We start from the raw sequence: 21,455 nt of genomic DNA, 5'->3' as shown, positions 1-21,455 counted from the left end.
CATGCGAGGGACCCCTCTCCGGGGTACCTGGGTGGGATTTCTGTCATGAACTGCCCACATACCCCAGAGTTCTGTAGCTGCGGTGCTGCTCTGAGAACAGTTTTGAAGGCTGTGGAGGTAGCAGATCCCGATCACGAAGCCAGTCCACTTAAAATTCAGGAGGCTGCGGAGTTACCCATTTGGAGGGTAGAGCCACACCTGGGCACCAGTCTGACCCTGCCGTCGAGCCCCTGCTCACCCTGGGAGGTGACCCCTTGGAACTTGTCTGCTGGAGGCAAGGCAGGGAGAAAGCGTGTGTGGATCACAGGCCTCCTGCTCCTGGGAGCACAGTGTCATAAGATGGGTCTTGCAGGAGAGGCTGGAGCCCACCCGTGGGGGAGGGAATCGGGTGTGCTAATGAGGTTGTGTGATGATGTGTGGCTGCCGGGGGCGTGAGCTCTCAAGTCCAGCGGGCTGGATTCATGTCCTGCCCTGGCTCCTTCCTGGAAGTGAGACTTGGGCAAGAAGTCAGCCCAGCAGAGCCCGGCTTTCCCCTGAGAGCTGGGGATGGCAGTCGCACCGGGAAGATGCAATGAGGGGAGGCCTGTACCGCCTGCAGCACCGGACCTGGGACGGAGCCAGCCAGCTGGGACTTCACGGTCCCTGCTCTCCTAGGTTCTACCAGATTTGGTCGTGGTGGAGAGTCAGAGCCCAGCACAGCTCCTGCTTGTGTTGCAGTGGGACCTGCTGTAAAGGGACAGGCAGTGTTCTTTCCTCTACTTTGGTCACAGTAAGTGCCACAGGTGAACCGGAGCTTGAGCGTGGCCATCCATTAACAGGAGACCAGTGTTCCTTCCGGTTGATTTTCTCTGACACCCACATCTGCATGATTCTGAGGAGGCAGAATGGCAGGTCAGCACACCGGGCCCCTGGAATTAGTGAGGCTGCCGGGACAGGCATTGTGTGTAGGCCACCGCGCCAGTCAGTTCCTGTGTGCTGGGTCCCTCCAAACGCTTGTTCTGCGTAGCACTCCCTCCCCATACACGCCCCCACCACACTCACCTCCTGTACCGGCTTTATCAGGGGGCGGCAGGGAAGCTACCACACCAACATTTCAAAGCCTACAGGTAGGTTGGGCCCTTGCACATCTTGTACAGGTTAAGGAGACGTGAAGACAGCAGGGCAAGAGAATCTTCTCGTTGCCTTGGGAGGGAGACCTCTCCTCAGGAGCACACCTGTGTAGGAGGAAGACTACATGGGGGCATCTCACCAGTGCCCCCCACGTATCTACCACAGCATCCCTTTACGGTGGTGTATTAGTCTGTTTTCACACTGCTGATAAAGACATACCCAAGACTGGGTAATTTATAAAGGAAAGAGGTTTAATGGACTCATAGTTCCACATGGCCGGGGAGGCCTCACAATCATGACAGAAGGCAAAGGAGAAGCAAAGGCACATCTTACGTGGCAGCAGGCAAGAGAGCATGTGCAGGGGAACTCCCATTTATAAAACCATCAGATCTCATGAGACTTATTCACTACCACCAGAACAGTATGGGGGAAATGACCTCCTGATTCACTTATCTCCACCTGGCCCCACCCTTGACACGTGGAGATTATTACAGTTCAAGGTGAGATTTGGGTGGGGACACAGCCGAACCATATCAAGCGGGCACCACCTGACTGTCATTTACCTAACCTGACCCTTTAAGTGAGTATACTTCTTCAATTTAAAGCTAATAAAATGGAAAATCTGTAGCTCTTCCATCAATTTTTTTTTTTTTTTTTTTGAGATGGAGTCTTGCTCTGTCTCCCAGACTGGAGTACAGTGGCGCCATCTCAGGTCACTGCAACCTCTGCCTCCCGGGTTCAAGCAGTTCTCGTGCCACAGCCTCCCGAGTAGCTGGGATTACAGGTGCGCACCACCATGCCCAGCTAATTTTTGTATTTTTGGTAGAGAAGGGGTTTCATCATGTTGGCCAGGCTGGTCTCGAGCTCCAGACCTCACATGATCTGCCTGCCTCGGCCTCCCAAAAAGTGCTGGGATTACAGGCGTGAGCTGCCATACCCAGCAATTTTTTTTTCTTAATGCACATTTAAATAAAGATATGACTTCTCAAATTAAAAGACAAAGTGTTCACTTAGGTATCACCTGAAATTACCTTGTTACTGGCAGTATGGCAAACGGGTCACGTGAAGGGGGGAGCCCAAATTTCAGATGAGCACTGACTCGCCCGTGCTCAAGTCTGTGATCTGGGAAGGTGACTTGTGCTCCAGTAGGATGGTGCCCACCCACCTGCAGAGGCGGGAGAGATCACCCAGGTCCAGGGCTGCACAATGCAGGCTGGGTTCACACAAGGCTGCTGGGATAGGTAGGCACTCGTGCTCGCGTTAGCCTGCCCTCAAATGTGTCTGTTCTTGGTTTTATGTGCAACTCAATTTTATAGGTAAAACCAGCACCAGAGACACAAACTGACCTTTCCAAGGTCACAAGCCAAGTTAGTGGCCCAGACAAGAGTGCTGAGGCTCCCTTTCCCCGCTGGAGACCACCCAGGCCAGGACTGGGCTGTGACCCCAGAGGCTGGACCTCCCAGCTGGTGTCCTGGCCCCTTTCTCCTGGAACCCATGTAGGAACTTCTGTCCTGCTGCAGGTCTGTGTGCCTGGCCAGTTGTGGTCACTATGGGCTGTGCAGAGGAAGGCCAGAAAAGGGCAGGTTCTGTGTGTTGAGAAGATAAGGTGTGTTAAAGCCATAGTTCTGGGGCACGGTCATTTTGGCTAATTGTCACTAAAGTCTCAAAGCTTGTGAGGGATCCAAGGTTACTACTCTCAGTTGCTTCTCAGCTTGCTTCTCTGAGCAGGACAGAGGATGGGGCTATGGTCAGCATAAGGGAAGCCAGTTCCTCTATGGCCAGGGCTAACAGAGCACTCATACCAGGCGACGTTCATTGAGTTTTGGCCGTGAATGCTGGGGCCAGACTAAGTCCTTTATACGTGATAAATCACTTCACACTCATCATCCCATCTTCCAGATGAGTATAACAAGGCACAGAGACGGGAGGCCATTTGTATAAGGTCATACAATGCCAGGACTGGGGACACATTTAATAGTGGGGCCAATTCCCTGCCAGATTCCTGTTGCTTTAGCCAAAATTCTTGGGGATGGCCATGAAAGTGTATATAGATGTCAGCGGCCCCAGGGTGGCCTGTCAGCTCCCAAAGTCCTACTGCCCCCAAACAGTGACCACTCCCTAGCAGGCTGGCGCTGTGGGAGGATCCCCACTAGCCCTTTCAGCCTGCTGGTGTGCATGCTTGTCCACTTGGGGTCGCCATAGGCTGGGTAGAAGGACCCCTTTCCTACCACCTGCAGGAAATTTTTCACCATCTGTGTGTGGCATGGGTGGCTCTGCCCTAGATGAGGCGATGTGTGGCTGCTCCCCTGGCCCACAGATGGTAGCAGAAGCTGGGGTTGCCAGGCTGCACCCCGACGGTGTGTTCGTTCCTTTCTCCTCAGCCACCTCCCCGTGCAAGATCCTCAAGTGCAACTCTGAGTTCTGGAGCGCCACGTCGGGCAGCCACGCCCCAGCCTCAGACGACACCCCCGAGTTCTGTGCAGCCTTGCGCAGCTACGCCCTGTGCACGCGGCGGACGGCCCGCACCTGCCGGGGTGACCTGGCCTACCACTCGGCCGTCCATGGCATAGAGGACCTCATGAGCCAGCACAACTGCTCCAAGGATGGCCCCACCTCGCAGCCACGCCTGCGCACGCTCCCACCGGCCGGAGACAGCCAGGAGCGCTCGGACAGCCCCGAGATCTGCCATTACGAGAAGAGCTTTCACAAGCACTCGGCCACCCCCAACTACACGCACTGTGGCCTCTTCGGGGACCCACACCTCAGGACTTTCACCGACCGCTTCCAGACCTGCAAGGTGCAGGGCGCCTGGCCGCTCATCGACAATAATTACCTGAACGTGCAGGTCACCAACACGCCTGTGCTGCCCGGCTCAGCGGCCACTGCCACCAGCAAGGTAAGGGGGAGGGGGCGGCTGTAGGGCACAGCCCTGCCCTTTGTCTCTGCCCTGCGTGGACACTGAGAGGCTGAGAGGGCCTCGGGTGCCTGGGAATGGGGGAAGACGGAGCGGAGCGGGGACACAGGAGCACCCTCCCTGAGCATCCCAAGGGGGTGGGTCTCAGCTTCCTCCCTCCTTCCTCGAGCCAGCCCGGCCTGGCAGGCATAGCTCCACTTCACAAATGGGGAGCCTGATGCTCTAAGAGGCCAAGTGACCTTCCCACCCCAAGTGCGTAGTCAGCTGGAATGCTGAGCTAGAATTTGCCCCAGGCCCGGGTGACTCCAGAACCTGGCATATTCTGAGCGGCCCCACGAGGCCACTGCGGGCTGCTGGTTTTCAAACCCAAGGAGGCCTCAGCAAGTGGGCAGCAGGACTCAGGTCCTGCTCATGGGGCCGCAGCCACACACACAGCCATGGACCCACGCAAGTGGACACTCCTGTCTACCCCAGGCCTCCCTCCCCTACCTGCTTTTGGGGAGGATGTCCTGAATCGGACTTAGCCAGAGGGCAAGGCCTCGAGGCCAGGAAGGAAGCTGGTGGCTCCCAGTTCAGGCGATGGGGACACGTCCACCCTCCCCAGTGCCCGGCCCACCGGTGCCCCCTGGGGTTTCCAGCTTGGCGAAATGGCAGTGGGTCTGTTTTCCTAGGAAGAGCCAGTTGGAAGGCCGTGTGTCGGGCAGTGCCAGATTTACCACAAGGGCGTTTCTGTTCCTTCCCACCCCTCCACACCCAGAGGAGGACAGCGAGGTGACCTGGCAGCCAAGGAAATGCTCCATCCCTGCCACTTCCCTCTGCTCCGGTGGCCCTTGCCTGCCTGCAGGGGGTCACTTTCTGGTCCCTGGCTGGGCGGGAAATAAGCAGGTCTTCGCCCTGTGGATTCCCAAGCGGGCCCTTGGCACCACAACATGACACCTAATGGAGAAGACTTGCAGCCGGTACACTCCACCCTGTGCCCCCGCAGCCCTCCGCATACTCAGGGCCTGCCTGCATCAAGGACCCAGCCACCTCCCCCACGGCCCCTGCACCTCCCCACCACCCGCCCTCCTGAGAGCCAAGACAGACGGACGCCAGGAGCCTGAGGCTGCAGCTTCTAAATCCAGGCACCAGCACGCTTCAGAGGGGACCTGGCCTCCCTGTCCCATCCTGCAGGTTCCCAAGGGCTGGCAGGGCGCACAGGGAGGTCTGAGGATGTGAGAGGGATGTGGACCCCAGGTGGCTCGCTCCTCCAGACCCCAGGGGGTGGAAGCACCAAATGCGACAACAGAGCCAAGCCACGCACCGGGGAGGATTTGTGATTTGTGTGCAGGGAGGCTGGGCTGCTGCCCCCATTATGGATGGGGGTGATGTGACGGGGTGGAGCAGTGGAGGGAGAACTTCCCTTCCTATCCCAGCATGGAGGCTTCCAGAAGAGTATGAAGCAGAGCTTCACCAACCCAGCCCATTTCTGCTGCAACCGAAGGCCACCTTTGATCTCAGCAGGCTGAGAGCTCAGCCCTGTCAACCAGGCTCTGCTGGAGGCCAGACAGTGACAGCGTCAGTGTCTGTGGCCAAGTCAGTCTCAGAACTCGGGCCAGACTGGGGTATTGTGGTCCCCCGGTGAGAACGTCGGTGGCTGGCTTCAGGCACCTTTGGCCTGCCCCCGCCTGTCTGTCAGGCCTCCGTTACTCAGGTGTGTTTGTTCACTCATTGATGGAGCAAACACTTAACAGACGTTGCATCTGTGCCAGCCTCTGAGCTAGTTGTTGCCCTCCCTCCCAGAAGCTCCCAGGCTAGTGAAGAGCAAAGACCAGCAAAGGGGAGCTGGCGATGGAGGCTGGGGCAGCAGGATGTTGAAGGCCATTGGGAGCCTTGGCTCTGTCCAGAGAACTGGGGAGCCCATCCACCAAGCTCGCCCCTGAAGCACAGCGCAAGTTTCCGGATGGAGGAACAGAGGAGTCGACATCCAAAGCAGGCGGAGTGGGAGAGCAGCCTGGTGTCTGCAGGGAGCAGGGAAAGGCAAGGGACTTTCATCTCCAAGATGATGAGGCCTCTGGGTTTCTGTGACCACCTCGACTACCACCAACAGAGCCCTCTGGGCCTGCCAGACTCTACCACCCACTGGAACCCACTCCCCTTTCCCCTCTCAGGCAGCCAGAGACTCCATCTGTCCCTGCACACCTGCCCTTGAGGGCCTCTCCTCAGGCTTCCCAGAGTGTGTCCAGCCCCTGCCTGGCCTGACCCTGACCTTGCAGCTATGAGATTTGCCTTCCTGTGCAGAAGCTCCGTGTGCAAGCTGTGTGTGCATGAAGCTGCCCCCAAACACCCGGGCATCACTAGGGGCCTTTATTTGTTTCTCATGATACTGGCAGTATCAGCCAATCAGCCAATCCCTCTGTTCTTGTGGACGATCAAGATCTAGTGTTTTCTACGTGGACATTTTAGCCAGTGTCTTACCCCCGTGGGACAGCCTTCTGTGCCCAGCCTCCTGCTCCATCACCCTCTTCCCATCTGTGCTGCTGATACCCATTTTACAGACAAAGAAACTGAGACTCAGGAGAGGACAGGAACTCAAGTCCTGCGCCTTCCCCTTCCTTTCCCCGCTGGTTAGTTTTCCCCATAGCACTTGCCAGCCTGTCCCTCTGCATGATTCATTTGCTTAGTCTGCGACCCCCTGAAGCATAGGGATCTTCTCCCTCGTGTACCCCGAGCCCCCAGCACCAGGCCTGGCATGGAGGTGGTGCTCCGTAGATAGTAGCTGATGCAGCCTGGGCTCTGCCTCGTGCCCGGTGCAGTGGAAAGGGCCAGGACCCCTTCAGAAGGGGGAGCAGCAGAGACAGGAGCGGCAGCCCGCCCGTGGCTGTGTTGGCAGCGAGCCGCCAGCTTTCGACAGGCCCCCTTCATGCTGTTACTTGCGGTTGAGTCCCTGGCACCGGTGCCAAGAAGAGTCAAGCAGCCTGTCAGCCTTCCAGGAGGCTGTCTCTGCGAGAGATGGTGGTTAGAGCGAAACCAGCCTTTCCTGTTCCAGGGAGACTGATGGCACTTGGAAAGCAGGACGCCGCCCCCCCCCACCCCCAGTGTCTGTGTGGCCCTGCACACCAGGCAGGGACACCAGAGTCCCCCATCCTCCCCCCATGGCAGGACCACCCACGGCCCAGACCACCCTGGCTGGCCCACCTCCGGCACCCCCAGGCGGCCTCCCCACCGAGGTGGGCTGGCCAGTGGGTGGAAAGAAGGAAGAAGTAGGAGGCTGAACCGTATGAAGTTGCCGTTTCCATAGGTCAGGAATGGTAGAGTAGCAGCAATCTCATCAGGTTCGAGGCTTAGGGCTCCATGCTGGATGGAGAGGCTGCAGCCGCAGCCACCTTTGACATCCCACGGCAAATGGGAAGTGTGCCGTGTCCTGCGGCCAGGCTGGGACCCCTGTAGGAAGGGATGCGAGGAAATCGAGTCCGGTCCTCAAGGAACTGTGCGCTTGGGGTCCTCCTGGTGCTGCTGCATGGACTCCCGCAGAGCCCCGACCCTCCGCAGCCTCCATCAGGCACAGAAAGCACAGCGCCGGGTGCCCAAGATGAACGGGCTCATGAGAAGACCGCCATTTCTTGTAAAGTCCTCCAGCAGCCTGCCCCTCGTTCAGCTCCTCCCAGCCTTGCCTGACTAACACATTTTCCTTCTTCAGAAGCCTTGGCCTAGGGTCTCCCTCTGTTCTTCCGGGGGTTCCACACCCCTCAGGCTACCAGTTCTCCCCACCTCATCATCCCGAAATCTTATGCCAATATGGGGAACCCACAAAGCCACAGCAACACGGCCAGGGGCACCTCTAGTGGCTCTGAATACCCCACTGGCTTGTATTACCTAGAAGGTTCTGGAACCCCTTTCCAGGCCTCAGGCCTCTTAGCACCTGGTCCTGAGGCCATGACCCTGGGCCAGCCCGCCCCAAACAGGCCACTCTGCTGCACCCCTGGCCTCCGGGCCCCAGAGAACAGGATGGCCTCATGCTGCATTCCTGGCCAGACCCCACCTTCCACCTTCCTGCGACTCTCCTGCCTGAGCTGAGGTCCTTCTGTGGTTTCCCTGCCTGCCCTTCCCCATCAGAGCAGCTTGTTATTTCCTGTTGCTTTCTAGCACCTCGCACTGTGCCCTCGCCACACATCTGCTGTTAGGCCAGAAACTCCCTTGGCACGCGGCGGCATTGCCCTCTACCCAGAGAGCCGGCAGGCAGTCCTCATGCCTCCCCCAAGTGCCCAGGCAGAGAACGGCTGTGCATGTCATCAGCAGCTCCCCCTTGCTCAGACCCCTTCAGCCTGCAGACCCTCTGAGGCCAGGTTGGGGTGGGATCCCCTGGGAGCTCTGTCAGCCAGCCAGCTAGCTGGCCACACCCTCTCCTGGGTGGGGAGGGATGAGCCCTGACCTACAGAGGGGTGAGGGGTTGGGGCTTAGTGGTGGGGGTAGTTGCCGGGCCTGGGAGAGGGTAGTGCAGCAGATAAAGGTGGGATTTTAGCAGGAGGTCCCAAAAGGCCTGGGTGCCACCTTGTCCCCTTTGCCCCACCTCCCTTCGTGGCTTCAGGCTGGGAGTCCAGGTTCCAGCTGCCCTTGGTCCAGGGGGACCAAGGCACCCAGAGCTCCCATGGCAAAACAGCTGACACCTGGGAAAGGAGTGGAAGAAGGGGTGGTTTTTTCTCTCCCAGTTTCTCTGTTTCCAACCCAGAAACCTGCTTAGGGTTAGGGAGGAAAGAACAGCCAGACGCCACCCAGGACGCGGACGGCAGAGGAAACTCACCTGCTCCCCTGGCCACCGGCCCTCCTCCTCTCAGGCCTCCCACCCTATGGGCTTGTGGCCAAGAGAGCCCAGAGTCTGGAAACGCAGAGTCTAATCCCAGCTCTGCCTCTTGCTGGCTGTGTGACCTTAGGCAAGTTACTGCCTCTCTCTGAGCCTACATTTTCTCATCCGGAAAATTGAGAGTAATGTCACCGACCCTTGCAGTGTCACACGAGACTGGAAGTAATACATGCAGTGCTTAGCATGCTGTATGCAGCCAATGCCTCTGTGTCTGGCTCTCAGGAGAACAGTGCCACCCAGCCAGCTGCTGCTCCAGCAGCTCAGTCCAGCCCCTCACCCCTGGCCACAGGCTCCAGCAGAAAGGAGCCTCCCTGCTCCAGCCCCGGCCAAGGCTGCCCGTTCAGCCTGGAACCTCCATCTCCCTTTTACCGACCAGCACCTTGCTCCTTTCCTGTTCCCCTCCTCCATGACCCAGCTTGGGGACCCCTTTCAGCAGCCTTGGGACAGTGGCTTCTGCTTGCCTCTGCCTGCTTGCATGGATTTTGCCCTATTCATTCTTTCTTTGAGCATCATTTCCCTCCATTCCACCTGCTGTAATGTTCAGACATTTGCTTGGGTCCTTTGTCAGGAATTGTGCTCCAGTACCACTGTCATTATGCAAGATGATGTTTGCAAACCATATTCATTTCCTATCGCCACTGTAGCAAATTAGCATAAACTGAGTGGTTCAAACCAACAGAAATGTTTTATAATTGTGGAGGCCGGAAGTTGGGAATATGTCTCGTGGGGATAAAATCAAGGTATCAGCAGGGCTGGTCCTGGAGACTCCAGGGGAGAATCCATTCATTGCCATTTCCAGCTTTTGGTGGTTGCCAGCATCCCTTGGTTTGTGGCCACATCATTCGAATCTCTGCCTTGTTGAGCACATCACCTTCTCCTCTGTCCTAGTTAGTCAAATCTCCCTCTGCCTCCTTCTTATAAAGATACTTGTGATTCCATCTAGGGCCCACCCAGGTAATCCAGAATAATCTCTTCATCTCAGTGTTCTTAACCTAATCATATCTGCAGGGTCCCTTTTGCCATCTAAGGGAACATTCCCAAGTTACAGGGATTAGGGCATGTTCTTCTTGGGAGCCATTATTCAGCCTACCACACTGGGCTTTTGACCTTTTATTTTTAATTATCTATGCTTTTATTTTTCTGGTTCACTTCCCTATATAGTAAAAGAGCTAGTTTTCTACTTAGGGTAGTGGTCTAACATTTTTCTAAGTCACTTTTTAAAGTAAAAAGGGCAAGTTGTTTTCATTGAAAGAATGTGAAGTGCACAGCTGCGCAGGTGGAACTGATCTGTCCAACCTGGAGAAGGGAGTGTCTGGGGCATCCCTGGGGATCCTTCCTGCCCTCCTCTCAGTCTAGAGCATCTTAAGTGTGGGGCTGTGCCTCCTCCCACTGTGCCTCACCCACTCTCCTCTGCCCCTTTCCCCGGCAGCTCACCATCATCTTCAAGAACTTCCAGGAGTGTGTGGACCAGAAGGTGTACCAGGCTGAGATGGACGAGCTCCCGGCCGCCTTCGTGGATGGCTCTAAGAACGGTGGGGACAAGCACGGGGCCAACAGCCTGAAGATCACTGAGAAGGTGTCAGGCCAGCACGTGGAGATCCAGGCCAAGTACATCGGCACCACCATCGTGGTGCGCCAGGTGGGCCGCTACCTGACCTTTGCCGTCCGCATGCCAGAGGAAGTGGTCAATGCTGTGGAGGACTGGGACAGCCAGGGTCTCTACCTCTGCCTGCGGGGCTGCCCCCTCAACCAGCAGATCGACTTCCAGGCCTTCCACACCAATGCTGAGGGCACCGGTGCCCGCAGGCTGGCAGCCGCCAGCCCTGCACCCACAGCCCCCGAGACCTTCCCATACGAGACAGCCGTGGCCAAGTGCAAGGAGAAGCTGCCGGTGGAGGACCTGTACTACCAGGCCTGCGTCTTCGACCTCCTCACCACGGGCGACGTGAACTTCACACTGGCCGCCTACTACGCGTTGGAGGATGTCAAGATGCTCCACTCCAACAAAGACAAACTGCACCTGTATGAGAGGACTCGGGACCTGCCAGGCAGGGCGGCTGCGGGGCTGCCCCTGGCCCCCCGGCCCCTCCTGGGCGCCCTCGTCCCGCTCCTGGCCCTGCTCCCTGTGTTCTGCTAGACGCGTAGATGTGGAGGGAGGCGCGGGCTCCGTCCTCTCGGCTTCCCCATGTGTGGGCTGGGACCGCCCACGGGGTGCAGATCTCCTGGCGTGTCCACCATGGCCCCGCAGAACGCCAGGGACCGCCTGCTGCCAAGGGCTCAGGCACGGACCCCTCCCCTTCTAGTGCACGTGACAAGGTTGTGGTGACTGGTGCCATGATGTTTGACAGTAGAGCTGTGTGAGAGGGAGAGCAGCTCCCCTCGCCCCGCCCCTGCAGTGTGAATGTGTGAAACATCCCCTCAGGCTGAAGCCCCCCACCCCCACCAGAGACACACTGGGAACCGTCAGAGTCAGCTCCTTCCCCCTCGCAATGCACTGAAAGGCCCGGCCGACTGCTGCTCGCCGATCCGTGGGGCCCCCTGTGCCCGCCACACGCACGCACACACTCTTACACGAGAGCACACTCGATCCCCCTAGGCCAGCGGGGACACCCCAGCCACACAGGGAGGCATCCTTGGGGCTTGGCCCCAGGCAGGGCAACCCCGGGGCGCTGCTTGGCACCTTAGCAGACTGCTGGAACCTTTTGGCCAGTAGGTCGTGCCCGCCTGGTGCCTTCTGGCCTGTGGCCTCCCTGCCCATGTTCACCTGGCTGCTGTGGGTACCAGTGCAGGTCCCGGTTTTCAGGCACCTGCTCAGCTGCCCGTCTCTGGCCTGGGCCCCTGCCCCTTCCACCCTGTGCTTAGAAAGTCGAAGTGCTTGGTTCTAAATGTCTAAACAGAGAAGAGATCCTTGACTTCTGTTCCTCTCTCTCCTGCAGATGCAAGAGCTCCTGGGCAGGGGTGCCTGGGCCCCAGGGTGTGGCAGGAGACCCAGTGGATGGGGCCAGCTGGCCTGCCCTGATCCTCTGCTTCCTCCTCACAACCCCAAGAGCCCCCAGCCCGGTCCATCCACGTCTGGAGTCTGGGGAGAGGAGCAGGGTCTTAGGACTCTCAGCTCTGAGCATCCCTGGCAGGGTCTTCAACCTCTAATCTCTTCCCTTAAGCCCTGTGGCCACACAGCCAGGAGAGACTTGCCGCTGGCTCCCGCCTCATTTCAGCCCAGGGTGCTCATCCAGGGGCCCAGAACAGTCCCACCTGTGCTGCTGTGCCCACAGCACAAAGCCAGGCTTCACTCCCAAAAGTGCAGCCAGGCCCTGGAGGGTGATCCTGCCAGCAGCCCTACAGCTCCACACCCTACCCACCCATCGGCAGCCCCTCTGCTGTTCCCCAGGGACCTCTCATACACTGGCCAGGAGGCTGCAGAACGTGTGTCTCCCCCTCCCTCCAAGAGGTCCTGCTCCCTCTGCCAGAACCGTGTGTGGGCGGGTGGGAGGGCGCTCGGGGCCCGGCCCCTCCCTCTCCCTGCTGGTTTTAGTTGGTCCCTATGTTGGAAGTAAAAAGTGAAGCACTTTATTTTGGTTGTGTTTGCTCACGTTCTGCTTGGAAGTGGGGACCCCTCACTGCGTCCACGTGTCTGCGACCTGTGTGGAGTGTCACCGCGTGTACATACTGTAAATTATTTATTAATGGCTAAATGCAAGTAAAGTTTGGTTTTTTTGTTATTTTCTTTTAGACGTGTTGGAGTTTGTTTTCTGAACAGACTTTGGCTCCCTTGAGGCGGGTGGAGGATGGACTTTGGTGGTGGGATCCCCTGCAGCAAGTGTGTGTGTGTGCGCGCATGTGTGTGTGCGCGCATGTGTGTATGCATGCCTGTGTGTGTGCGTGCCTGTGTGCGTGCATGTACGCATGTGTGCGCATGCCTGTGTGTGCGCCCATGCCTATGTGTGTGCATGTAGGCATGTGTGTGCGCATGTGTATGTGCGTGAGAATGGTGTGAAGGCGGATAGAAGATGCAGCAGTTTAACAGCCACCACACATTGCTTTTGTAAAGTCACTTTTCCTCCTCACGATGAGCTGTCTTTGGAGCTTGGCAGGCCCAGATCCTCTTGTTCTAGTGACAGTGGAACACAGTCAGGGAGACAGGTGACTATGTGGTGGAGAGACATATGGTGCCCTCTGGGATGAGATGGGTGGGATAGCCTGAGATCTGGGATGACTCCCTCTCAGCCACTGCTATCAGCCTGGAGCCCCAGCTGTTGGGACTGCCTGCCACCCTCCCTGCCAGTGCCCATCTTCTCATAGCCCGGGCGGAGCAGTGGTGCTGCAGGAGGCTGCTGTCCACGTCACTGTGGGACCAGGTTTATTGGCAGCTGTGATCACATTTCATCTGTACAAACTACCCAGTGAATCAGGAAGAAATTCAGGCCCATTTTGCCGATGAAACAGACTCTGAGATTAACTGACTTGCCTAGGGCTCCTTAGCAACGGGAAGGACAACCTGTGCACCTAGGTTAGTATTGTCCTGAAGCCCCTTCTCTTCAAACTAAATGCCATGAGGCAGAATAGCAGCACAGTTAAGCCAGCCTACATCCTGGCTTCTCCACCTCCCCAGCAGTGTGACCATGGGCAAGTCACTTCACCTCTCTGAGCCTGCATGCTGTTCTCTGGAAGATGGGGGGGTGCCTGTCCCATACAGTTGTTTGGAGAGTCAGGAGTTCATTCCTGTAAATTGCTTAGGAGAGGGCGGGGCACACATGGCTTGTCTGGTCGTGGGGAGGGAGGGGGTGGTATTATCCCAAAGCAAGATAAATCAGTTAAGGGGAGAAGGAAAGGGGCGATACAGACCCTGGACTCTTGGGAGAGGTGAACCTGCAGGCTAGCAAGGGGAGGAGTCCCAAGAGTGGCCAAGTTCATTAATCCCAGGCAGACCAGGAAGGCTGAAGAAAAAGGAGAACTTTATTTTATTTTTGAAATGGAGTCTGGCGTCTTGCTCTGTCGCCAGGCTGGAGTGCAGTGGCACCATCCCAGCTCACTGCAGCCCCTGCCTCCCAGGTTCAAGCAATTCTCCTGCCTCAGCCTCCCAAGTAGCTGGGACTACAGGCACACACCACCACGCCTGGCTAATTTTTTGTATTTTAGTAGAGATGGTGTTTCACCATGTTGACCAGTATGGTCTTGATCTCCTGACCTCGTGATCCGCCTGCCTTGGCCTCCCAAAGTGTTGGGATTACAGGCGTGAGCCACCACCGTGCCCGGCCAAAAAAGGAGAACGTTCTAAAGCCCTGTTCTTGCAGGGCTCCCAGAGAGAACACGGGAGTTGGGTTTGGGAGGCAGGAACCAGACTGGAAAGGACAAAACGTACCCAGCATCTTCCCTGGCGGCCGGAACCGTCACTACAGGCCCCGTGCCCTTAGCAGTCCCAGGGACAGAGCGACTCAGGGAGGCAGCAAGGAGGAGCGGAGCCATTGGTGCTCGTCCGGCACAGAGAACAGTTCCTGAGAAGCCAGGGCACACAGAAGAAAAAGAAAAAAGAAATCTCTACTAGACGAAAATGCTAAATGGCACTAGCCACAAAGTATTCTTGGTTTGGAATTTTTTTTCCAGGACCCTAAATGTAACCGGCTGGAATTCTTTCCCAAGTGCCATGCTACTTACTACTGGTTGCCCTCACGAGCATGGAAATGCCGTCGTGAATATGGAACACAGCATCCTGAGCTAAAAGATTCCCAAGAAGCAGCTTCATCTTGCAGGACGGGCTAGGTTGGGAGCCTCTGGAGGTTCCTGGCTGCCAGCTCCGCGGAGGCCTGCGGCCTGGAGGTAAATGCATTAGCACACGGAGGTGGGCGCCTCTCCCCGCCCCATCCTGTCTCACTGATGTGTTGCCGAGAACTGGAGTTCTTGTTTAGCTAACCAGAATGTGCAAGGCTATAGGACAGGAGAGAAATGGCCTTTAAAACAAATGAATGAGAGTCACGATGAAGGGGGCAGACGGGGGGGTGAAAATCATTACCAGAACACTTGGGCAGAGACCCGTCAGAGCCAGGCAGGAGACAGTCATCAGAGCTGTGCCAGCAAGTGGCATGGAGCAGGGGTGGCACTTGGGCTCGGGCTGCAGGCAAACTTGGCGTCAAAACTGGCTCAACCCGTCGCGAGCTGTGTGGTCTCCTTGGGATTTTTTGAGCCTTAGATTCCTTATTTGTAAAATGGATTTGTGAGTCTCCACCTCCCGAGGTCAGTATGGAAATCCAGTGAGCTAACACTCGTCAATGGCCTCGCACATGGCCCTGGCACCACGCATGGAGGCCGCCAAAAGTGGCCGCCTCCTCTCTGCAATTGCATTTATTTATCCATTTGATAACTCTATTGGGTGTCTACCCAGCATTGTTCAGGGGGGTGTGAGGGGCTACCGCAATGACCCAGACAGACTGCTGTGCATTCTTATTGGAAAGACAAGGCAATAAACCACAGTTACAAAACCCAGGGTCCCATGGTAACGAGCTCCACAGAGAAAAGGGAAGTGGGCCAGAGGTTCCGAGAGACACACATTTTGGATTGCAGGAGGGTGAGAAGGGGCATTCATCTGTGGTGGGGTTAAGGGGAGGCCTCCGACTAGCTCACCTGCATGAATTTCAGGAACAAGCCATGCAGAGCCGGACAGAGCATTCTGTGCAGAGAAAACAGTGTAACAGCCCTAGAGCAGCAGCAGCAAAGGGGGAGTTTAAGGGATGGTGGGAAGCCACTGTCACTGGACAGTAGCAAGTGGACAGACCAGGGGTCCCAGGTGAGGCCACAGAGCAGCCAAAGTACTGCAGGGCTCTCCGGCTCCGGGAGGACTTGATGTTTGACTCCAGTTGCCAGAGGAAGCCGTTCACGGGCTTTGAGTGTAGGAATGATGTGTCCGACTTGGGTCTTTTTATTGTTCTTTTTTAGAGACAGGGTCTCACTCTGTCACCCAGGCTGGAGTGCAGCGGCACAATCACAGCTCACTGCAGCCTCCACTTCCTGGGCTCAAGCAATCCTCCCACTTCAGCCACTCAAGTAGCTGGGATTACAGGTGCCTGCCGTCACACCCGGCTAATTGTTAAATTTTTTTGGAGAGACAGGATCTTGCTGTTTTCCCAGGCTGATCTTGAACTCCTGGGCTCAAGCGAGACGTCTGTTTCAGCCTCCCAAAGTGCTGGGATAACAGGTGTGAGCCACTGGGCCTGCCTTGGCTTGGGTATTAAAGGAATTGTTCTAGTTACTATATGGAGGTGACTTGGGGCCGCTGGGGAAGAAAGAGGAAGTCAGGAGCCAGTCTGAGGCAGTGGCAATGCAGCGATTATCAGAAATAATGGGCTCAATGATAGACTGGATAAAGAAAATGTGGCACATATACGCCATGGAGTACTATGCAGCCATAAAAAGGGATGAGTTCATGTCCTTTGCAGGGACATGGATGAAGCTGGAAACCATCATTCTCAGCAAACTAACACAAGAACAGAAAACCAAACACCGCATGTTCTCACTCGTAAGTGGGAGTTGAACAATGAGAACACATGGACACAGGGAAGGGAACATCACACACTGGGGCCTGTCAGTGGGTGGGGGGCTGGGGGAGGGAGAGCATCAGGAGAAATACCCAATGTAGATGATGACGGGTTCATAGGTGCAGCAAACCACCATGGCACGTGTATACCTATGTAACAAACTTGTGCGTTCTGCACGTGTACCCCATAACTGAAAGTATAATCATAATTTTAAGAAAAGAAATGATGGCCTTTGGGGTCTAATAAGAAGGTGGGGCTGACAGGGCTTGGGGAGAGAGCGAGCTTGACAGGAGACCACGATGTCTTCCCCAGGGGTCTGAGCACCTGGGGAAATGGTGGTGCCATTTACCATGACTGGAAAGATCATGGGAGGAGCAGGTTTGGGACACTGAAGGCCCGAGAGCCCCTGGCAAACCACCAGTGTAAGTCCAAGAGTCCAAAAGCTGAAGAACTTGGAGTCCAATGTTTGAGGGTAAAAAACAGCCAGCATGAGAAAAAGATGAAGGCCAGAAGACTCGTCCAGTCTAGCCCTTCCACATTCCTCTGCCCGCTTTTATCCTAGCCTCGCTGGCAGGTGATTAGATGGTGCCCACCCAGGTTAAGCGTGGGTCTCTGTCTCCCAGTTCACTGACTCAAATGTTAATTTCCTTTGGCGACAGCCTCACAGACACACCCAGGAACGATACTTTGCATCCTCCAATCCAATCAAGTTGGCACTCAATATTAAACAGTTTCGGCCGGGAGCGGTGGCTCACGCCTGTAATCCCAGCACTTTGGGAGGCCAAAGCGGGCAGATCACTAAGTCAGGAGATCGAGACCATCCTGGCTAACACGGTGAAACCCCATCTCTACTAAAAATACAAAAAATTAGCCAGGCGTGGTGGTGGGCGCCTGTAGTCCCAGCTACTCGGGAGGCTGAGGCAAGAGAGTGGCGTGAACCCGGGAGGCAGAACTTGCAGCAAGCAGAGATCGCACCACTGCACTCCAGCCTCCAGCCTGGGCGACAGAGCAAGACACCGTCTCAAAAAAAAAAAAAAAACAACTAACAGTTTCGTTCATTAAGGCAATGTCCATGGGGCAGCTCCTGCATGCCACGCCACCCCTGCCCTGACATACTCCCAGGCTGACCAGCCAGAACTGGGGAGAGGGCATCTTGAAGAAACAGTCCACCCTCCGCCCTCGCATACCTGTGTCTCCCAGCAGACAAGACACACAAGGGCAGGGACTGCACTTTCCTGTGTGCAAATCTCAGGTATGGTCCAGAAATCACATCTCTTTGGTCTGATTGGCCTTACTTACCAAACCCTTGAAACAATGGAAAGAAGCTTGCTGCAATGGGAAGACCCCTGCCCCCCAAACCCTCTAACCAGGAGTCTACAGACCTCATTCCGTGGAAGTTCCCATTGTCCCCTGGGAAACCACCACCTTCTGAATCGGCACAGCCAAGGCCCCCAACCCTGCTATCAACAGCTTTCCTTAGCCACCTTCCCCATCCTGCAGGGCTTTTCAACATTTCGACTTTTTAATCCTTCCCTCCCTAAGATATAGACATGGTGTTAGTAGCAGAACCCTGAAGGCAAAGGAACAGAAACTAACACTCTCAGAAAGTCCTAGCAGGATGGTCTGAATTAATAGACAGCTGCAGGCAGCCAGTGTGCAAGGCACGCTCGTAATGTCAGTGGCGTTCCGGAATGAGGGCTGTGATCCCAGGCAGCCCAGATCCCAAGGCGAAAACATTCATGTCGCCCAGCATCACCCTGTCCTTGCCCAGGGTGACCCTGAGACGGCACTTGGATTCTTCCACATCTGAACTCAAACCTGCTCCCTCAGCTCTCCCCAGCAGGAATTGGAGCCCTCTCCAGGCCGTTCAGCCAAAGCAGAATGTGTCTGGCCAAGCAGATCTGCCCAGAGAAGAACAAAGACGTGTTCAGACACTGTCTGGGGAATTGGTTTTGAGCTCACTCTGAGCTCCATCTGTGCAACAAGGCCAGCGTCAGCTGTTACAGAGAAGGGGCTTGTGGCAGTTTATTACCCTGGTGAGCTGGCTCGGGGCCATGCTGACCGCAGGACTGTAAAGGACATAAGGCAGTTGGCAATATGGGAAGCAGCAGTCCCCAAAGCACCCCGTCAAGGAAACGATGCAAGAGCTCTGTCCACTGGACCAGCCCCACCCTACCCCGCCACGCCCTGGCCTAGGGGGAGGGACCTTGTGTTTCACGGGCCTGGATGGCCAGGGATGGACAGTGGCATGGGCACAGACACACCCAGACCGAAGGAAGGGCCCGGGCTCCAGAACCAGACCCGATCCAGGCTCCCAGCTCTGTCACCTACTGGCTGCATGAAAAGGGTGGGTTTTCCTTGTTTTGCAGCCTCAGCTATCTCAGCTGTGAGGGAACAATGACGCCACCTCCCTCACGTGGCGGTCCTGAAGATGAAATGTAATGCATGCAGCGCGGCGGCCGGCCCACCGTGTGCTCTTAGTAACTGGCCGCTGTTCTCTTCAGCCCTCCCGTTACTGACCACCTCGAGGGCACCGTTCCTCCAAGCTGACCATTTCCTGCCAGTCACCCACTGCCCAGCTCGCCCAGCCATGGAGTGGGCTCTGGTCCACGTGCATGGTGAGCTGCCATCTTTGTCGTCCTCTGGACACCACGTCTACCTCCTTGGGAAATAGAAACGAGTCCTGCATTGCTTTGTCAAATTTCACAAAAACCCTAGAAAGCAGATATTGCCCTGGTTTACAGACGGACAGACAGAAGCAAAGAGAAGCCAACTGACCCACTCCAGGTTACAAGCAGGGTCTGGTAGGAGAGCACGCGTCCACCCCACCGCTCACTGCGCCCACCTACTCCTCGCTTGAGGGCAGAGAACGAGCTGGGGCGGGGCGCTCCAGGGGGCACAGGCAGCCTGTGTTCAAGGCATGCTCGTGAGCCCCACAGCAGGGGCGGAGTCAAACCAGGGCTCTGGTTCTGGGGTGAGCAGAGGGTGGGGCCAGGCCCCCACTGGGAGGCTGACTGAGGAGGGGCTCAAAGGGCAGGCAGGCTCCATCAGAGCGGTTTGATGAGCAGGGCCGCTGAGTGGCCCTCAGGTCAAGGCTGGGGCCGGGACCACCAGGGACCAGGTCTGCGGGGCCAGGGGTCCCTCCCCAGGGTGGAGCAGGAAAACTCCGGCAACCGCCTTCTTGAGTGGACTTGACCTTCCCTTTCTCTGCTAATGATCTCAGATTAATCCCTTAAGGCAAGTGCCCCAGGGTGGGTGTTGGTTGCATAAAACAAGAGGAGTCCTTCTTCCCTTCCTTCCTGGCACAAACATTTGTAGGCCACCCCCGATGTGGCTGGTCGTAGTCTGGATTTGGGGGCACATTCAGGCATTCAACAAATACGTCATGAGGCCCCGTGATGAGCTGGGGGGCTATGCTTGATGTCGGCAGTACAGCTGTGGTCGCTCGAATGAATGTGCCCGCCCTCACGGGACTGACCTCTAGTGGTGAGAGACAGACACTAACCGAGTCACATGTGTGATTACACGTGTAATCATACTTACATATGTAACAACACGAGTTACACGTGCAGTGTGGGGAGGGGGCCCTTCACGGTGACCAGCCCATCAGGGAAGGGGATGCGGGTGGCAGAAGGAAGCGGCACACCCTTGTCCTCACGGAGCTCACAGGAGGTTCTCTGACCCTCATCTTAAGCCACAGGCTGTGTCTGAGCCTCACTGCCCTAGCTATCAACTGGGTGCAGGACTAGGCCTTAATCACTGGGCAGCGGGAAGAACTACATAAGCTCATACTGGCGCAAAGCCCCTTGGGAGACCGCAGGGAAAGCCATTGCATGAGGTGGTGACAGGCTCGGCCTTCAGAGTCGGGCTAGAATCTGAGTTCTGACAATGATCCCCGCCTTGACCCATCTCTCCTCAGGCCGCCCTGAGCCTTCCAGTTAGGCCTGGGCTTTGGGCTTCCGTGTTTGTCTCTGGATTGTTCGGTTTTAGCAAGAGTCCTGCTAAATTGGTCTTGCTGGAATCCTCCGCCCTCCACATCTGATTGCCCTTCCTGTCTGATCGTGGTCTTCATGCCCCACGGCCTCCAGGGGACGTCTGATCACCTGGCCTGCCTTCAGCAAGAATCCCCCCAGGTGTTTCCTCTTAAGAGGTTTTCCATCCACTGAGCCCACCCTGCTCCTTGGCCATCAATTCCCACTTGCCTGTACTGTATTCAGAGGGGACCCCAATCTCTCTTCCCAGCTGCAGCGGTCCCTGTCCAACACTGCCCCCCACCTCAAATAAAGTCTTTCTTACTGTCTTTAACATATGCCGTCAATAAAGTTTTAGCAGATCCAATTCCCTGCTCTGTGATCTTAGGCAAGTTACCTAACGTGTCTGGGCCTCAGGATCCTCAGCTGAAAAATGAGATAAATGCCACTCCATAGGATTGTCGGGAGACTAAATGAAAAAAAAAAATAATGCAACAAAGCAACAGGCCCAGAGCCTGGTGCCCAGTAAGCCTCGGTAGAAGGTGGCTTCTTTGCACAGGCCCATCTCATAGGCAGCCTTGTTTACCCACAGGTCTAGGTCATCAACAGCTGGGTTCCCAAACACCTATAATGTACAGACTGTCTAGGGGCCAATACTCCTCCAGGCCTTCCAGGGCTGCTTCGAGTCAATTTTATTATTCATAAGGCTAGGTATAAACTCTTTGTAATTATTTCTCCTTTCAAGTATAAAATCAAGACACATTTACCAATCAAGGCTAAACAAAACTACAAAACCAATAAAACTCAAATGAACAGCATTCATTTAAAGTAGTGGATGATGTTCTGCAGACACCAAATAGGCTGTCTCATGGGAGGAAGGAGCGGCTGCCAGGACCCAGGTTCTTCGGAGCTCAGCGCCTGTCCTGGGTGCCAAGCAGTGCTTTAGCTCCCTTCTGCTTGCCACTCAGGCCCTGTGACAACCGTCAGCACGTTTCCCCCATCCTCCTGGGGTCAAGCAGCACTGACCCCTTGGCACTGATACAATCCTAAGTCGTGGGTCCCTCTTCCCTCCCTCTCTTCCGAATGCTCCAGGA

At 56.1% G+C, this 21,455-nt stretch overlaps 1 protein-coding gene across 6 annotated transcripts in view, besides 3 other annotated features; it reads left to right on the top strand.

Moving 5' to 3' along the window:
* The window catches only part of RGMA (repulsive guidance molecule BMP co-receptor a), a 53,941-nt gene extending 33,213 nt beyond the window's left edge, over window positions 1-20,728 (top strand). For all 6 annotated transcript variants that reach the window (NM_020211.3, NM_001166287.2, NM_001166283.2 and 3 more), the window contains 2 exons: window positions 3,492-4,006; window positions 10,294-20,728. In NM_020211.3, coding sequence (NP_064596.2) covers window positions 3,492-4,006; window positions 10,294-11,001 — 1,223 coding nt within the window. In that variant the 3' untranslated portion in view covers window positions 11,002-20,728. The remainder of the gene's footprint in view (window positions 1-3,491; window positions 4,007-10,293) is intronic.
* Window positions 3,619-4,228: an enhancer, noted in NCBI's record as "H3K4me1 hESC enhancer chr15:93595001-93595610 (GRCh37/hg19 assembly coordinates)". NCBI's record gives its function as "activates a minimal SCP1, AML or CMV promoter by ChIP-STARR-seq in primed H9 embryonic stem cells {active_cell/tissue: H9 hESC(primed)}" and the evidence as "EXISTENCE:reporter gene assay evidence [ECO:0000049][PMID:30033119]".
* Window positions 15,323-15,492: an enhancer, noted in NCBI's record as "active region_10133". NCBI's record gives its function as "activates an Ori minimal core promoter by ATAC-STARR-seq in GM12878 lymphoblastoid cells {active_cell/tissue: GM12878}" and the evidence as "EXISTENCE:reporter gene assay evidence [ECO:0000049][PMID:35858748]".
* Window positions 19,669-19,808: an enhancer, noted in NCBI's record as "active region_10132". NCBI's record gives its function as "activates an Ori minimal core promoter by ATAC-STARR-seq in GM12878 lymphoblastoid cells {active_cell/tissue: GM12878}" and the evidence as "EXISTENCE:reporter gene assay evidence [ECO:0000049][PMID:35858748]".
* Window positions 20,729-21,455: the final 727 nt, after the last annotated feature.

This window comes from Homo sapiens, chromosome 15, assembly GCF_000001405.40.
Source record: "Homo sapiens chromosome 15, GRCh38.p14 Primary Assembly".
Classification (NCBI taxonomy): Eukaryota; Metazoa; Chordata; class Mammalia; order Primates; family Hominidae; genus Homo; species Homo sapiens.
This window is presented reverse-complemented; position numbering and strand designations above follow the sequence as displayed.